The sequence below is a fragment of the Homo sapiens genome, chromosome 18 (genome assembly GCF_000001405.40).
Source record: "Homo sapiens chromosome 18, GRCh38.p14 Primary Assembly".
NCBI classification, from domain to species: domain Eukaryota; kingdom Metazoa; phylum Chordata; class Mammalia; order Primates; family Hominidae; genus Homo; species Homo sapiens.
This window is the reverse complement of record NC_000018.10, coordinates 47,805,112-47,808,956: the sequence shown is the minus strand read 5'-3', so window position 1 is coordinate 47,808,956 and position 3,845 is coordinate 47,805,112.

Here is a 3,845-nt window from a genome sequence, read left to right as displayed (position 1 = left end):
GCAACGAGACTGCTTTTCTTTGTGGTTCATAAATTAATTCTGATAACAGTTTTTAAAAGAGAAGTCAAATATTTTGAGCAGAGCCAAGCTCACTGACATACCTAGGTGGTCTTAGATGTAGCCAATGCGCCAGGTACCACAGGACGCCTAAATTTGTATCAGTGTATACCATCACTAGTTATGAATAAGAATGCCTTCTTGCCACATATCCTCATTAACTCAGTGTATTATCAAACTTATTTAACTCTTTCAGGCCAGGCATTGTGGCCCATGCCTGTAATCCTAGCACTTTGGGAGGCCAAGGCTGGTGGATTTCTTGGGCCCAGGTGTTTGAGACCTGCCAGGGCAACACAGGAGTTTGAGATCAGTCTGAGCAACATGGTGAAACCCCACCTCTACAAAAAATACAAAAATTAGCTAGGCATGGTGGCGTGTACCTGTGGTCCCAGCTACTCAGGAGGCTAGATGGAAGGATCACTTGAGCCTGAAAGACAGAGGTTGCAGTGAGCTGAGATCACACCACTGCACTCCAGCCTGGGGGGAAAAATATTTCAGTCTGAGAGGTGAAAAATGGTAAGAGAATTTGATCTTTTCAAAAGGTAATCATGTTTCTCCCATGCTCAAGACCTTCACTGCTTTCTTATTGTGCTTACAATGAAGCCAAAGTCCTTTAGCATGGTCCAGAAGGTGCTCATGGTCTGGACTCACTATCTCTCTGACTTTATCTCATGACACTAACCTCAACCCTTAGAATAGTTCCTACCTGGTGAGAAGAGAGCATGTCCTTACAGATAATACCAACCAGTAAATGTGGGAAAAAGTCACCATAATGTAGCTACCATAGTAATAACTGATTCAGTCAAGGATCACAAGGATCACCGGACACTAAAACTCTTGGGTGAAAGTTATTTGGTGATTGGGATATTTGCACAGATTAGTCATCAATTGCAAATATAAATGTCACTTTCTCAAAGTGACATCTATACAGTGGAGAGACATGGTGGAAGCTCCTTAACGAAGTGATCAAGTTTAACAACACCGGTAATGGGACAAGTAGATAGCATATGCCTCCTGATGCGAAGTACTGGGAAGGTACACATCAATCACTTAGGTGAGTTTTCTGTCAAAATACAGAACCTGGTTCTAATCATGACAAAACATCAGAAAAACCAAATCTGGGGACATTCTACAAAATAATTATGAACAAGAGGGCAGGGAAGTAAGTAAAATAAAGACAGAAAGATAACTGTGAGCCTTGTAGACTATTAGAAGGTCTTTGCTTTCCTAATAAGCTGGAAAGCCATTAGTGAGTTTTGAGCTGAGCGTGACATAATATGGCTTTATTTTATTTTATTTTATTTATTTTCGAGGCGGAGTCTCGCTCTGTCGCCCAGGCTGGAGTGCAGTGGCATTGATCTCAGTTCACTGCAATGTCTGCCTCCCAGGTTCAAGCTATTCTTGTGCCTCAGCCTCCCATGTAGCTGGGATTACAGGCATGCACCACCATGCCCAACTGATTTTTGTATTTTTAGTAAAGACGGGGTTTTACCATGTTGGCCAGGCTGGTCACGAACTCCTGGCCTCAAATGATCTATCTGCCTTGGCCTCCCAAAATGCTGGGATTACAGGCATGAGCCACCACACCCAGCCAATATGACTTAATTTTAAAATGACTGCTTTGTTCTAGCTGCTGGATTGAGAATAACCTATATAGGGGCAAGGAGAGAAGCTGTGTGCCCTGTTATGAGGCTAGTGCAACAATCCAGGCAAGATGGTAGTGATGTAGACCAGGATGAGAAGTGGTTTGAGATATACATAACTTGAAACATAAAAATACAGAATAGAATCACAACCATATACCCATCACCCAGCTGCAACAATTTTCATCTCATGGCTGATCTTTACACTCCACCTGTTTTATTTATACACCACCTATTTCCCCCTGCCATTTTATTTGTATGCAAATCTCGGTTGTATCAATTCATTCTGGATGTTCATTTAAGAATTTGCTGATGGGTTGAATGTAAAGAAAAGGAGGAGTCAAGGATGTCTTCAAGTTTGCTGTGAAGGATGGAGGTTCAAGTTATTGGGATGACAAAGGCTGTAGGTGGAGTAATGTGAAAGAAATAATTGAGAAATTCCTTCTGTGTATATATGGTTTGAAATGCCTATTTGACATTCCAGAAGTTGTTGAATATACAACTCTAGATATCAGGGAGACAATGGGGCTGTAGATATAAATTTGGGAGTTGTTAGATTATAGATAATCTCTAAAACTGAAAGATTGAACCTCCAGCTTCTGGTAATCACATAGTAGCTTGAGTCAGACTAACTCTTCTGCTGATAATAATTATCGTATAAACTCTGGAGGCATGGGAGAGTGACCCAAAGCAGACATATGCTGGAGGAGATTCAAATCTTGAGAAAAAGGAACCACGGTGGGTGTTTTTTTACCTTTTGTTCCTGAGGGTACTCACTAGCCCCTACAATACACTGTGAATAGAACTCAAGTAGAAAGTGGCAGTCCTACTGTTCTGAGGCTTCTAGAGAAGCTGGAAACTGAGGAGGAGAGGAGAAGTCATAGAGCAGGGAATCCCATAATCTCTGTATAAACTCCTTTTAAATCCTTGCCTGACTCCTTAAGTCTGTAGATGGGGGTCAAAACTCCAAGATTCCCAGGGGAAAAGCAACAGCTACCAGGCTGGAAGCGCTGAGCAGAGATATTTCAGCTTCCCAGGGCAATTTAAGTCCTTCCAAATTAGAGGAGCTTAGTAAGGATCTCAGACTTCCATTGAAGCTTCAGAGAGCCCACACCTTAAGAGTAAGGACACATCTCAGGACTCAGCGATTCACCCTAGGACTAAGGACCAAGCTGAAATAGACCACAATAGAGCTAAAATCAAGACATCTCAGATTCAAGATGATCTGCTAGTAATTTAAAAGGTTGTTAGAACCATCCTCTTCAGAAGAAGATAAGAGAACCTAGAGTCTCTACAGTAAATCCTCCATAATGGCCAATGTACCATCTAAAATTACAAGAAATGAAAAACAAAAACAAAAGTAGAAGATGTGACTCACAGTAAAAAACAAAACACACATCAGTCAACAGAAGCAGACACACAGATATTGCATATGTTGGGATTATCAGACAAGAACTTTAAAACAAATTTGATAATTATTTTGAAGAATCAATAGGAATCAGCCAGGCACAGTGGCTCACCCCTGTAATCCCAGTACTTTGGGAGGCCAAGGCGGGCTGATCACACAAGGCTAGGAGTTCGAAACCAGCCTGGTCAACATGGCGAAACCCCGTCTCTACTAAAAATACAAAAATTAGCCAAGTGTGGTGGTGCACATCTGTAATCCCAGCTGTTTGAGAGGCTGAGGCACAAGAATTGCTTAAGCCTGGGAGGCAGAGGTTGCAGTGAGCCAAGATCATACCACTGCACTCCAGCCTGGGCAACAGAGCAAGACTCTGTCACAACAACAACAACAACAACAACAAAATGGGAATAATTAATTGATAAAGATATAGAAAATTTTAGGAGAAATATGGAAACTAAAAAAAACTGTTACAATAGCCTAAATAGTGAGGAATAATAATGTCTCACAAATAGAAGCACCAAAGTAGCCCAGGCCCCATATTGCCAAGGAGTGAGTTACTTCCTATCTCTGTGTTCCACTATCCTCCATTCATTTGTTCATTCAATGAATATTTATCAGGTGAATACTTCATGTCAGGCACTGCTCTAGGGGCTGGAGTCATATCAATGAACAATCAAAATCACTTATCTTGGCATTAACTTTCTATTTTGGAGAGACAGACAAAACAAGTGCACGTGGTG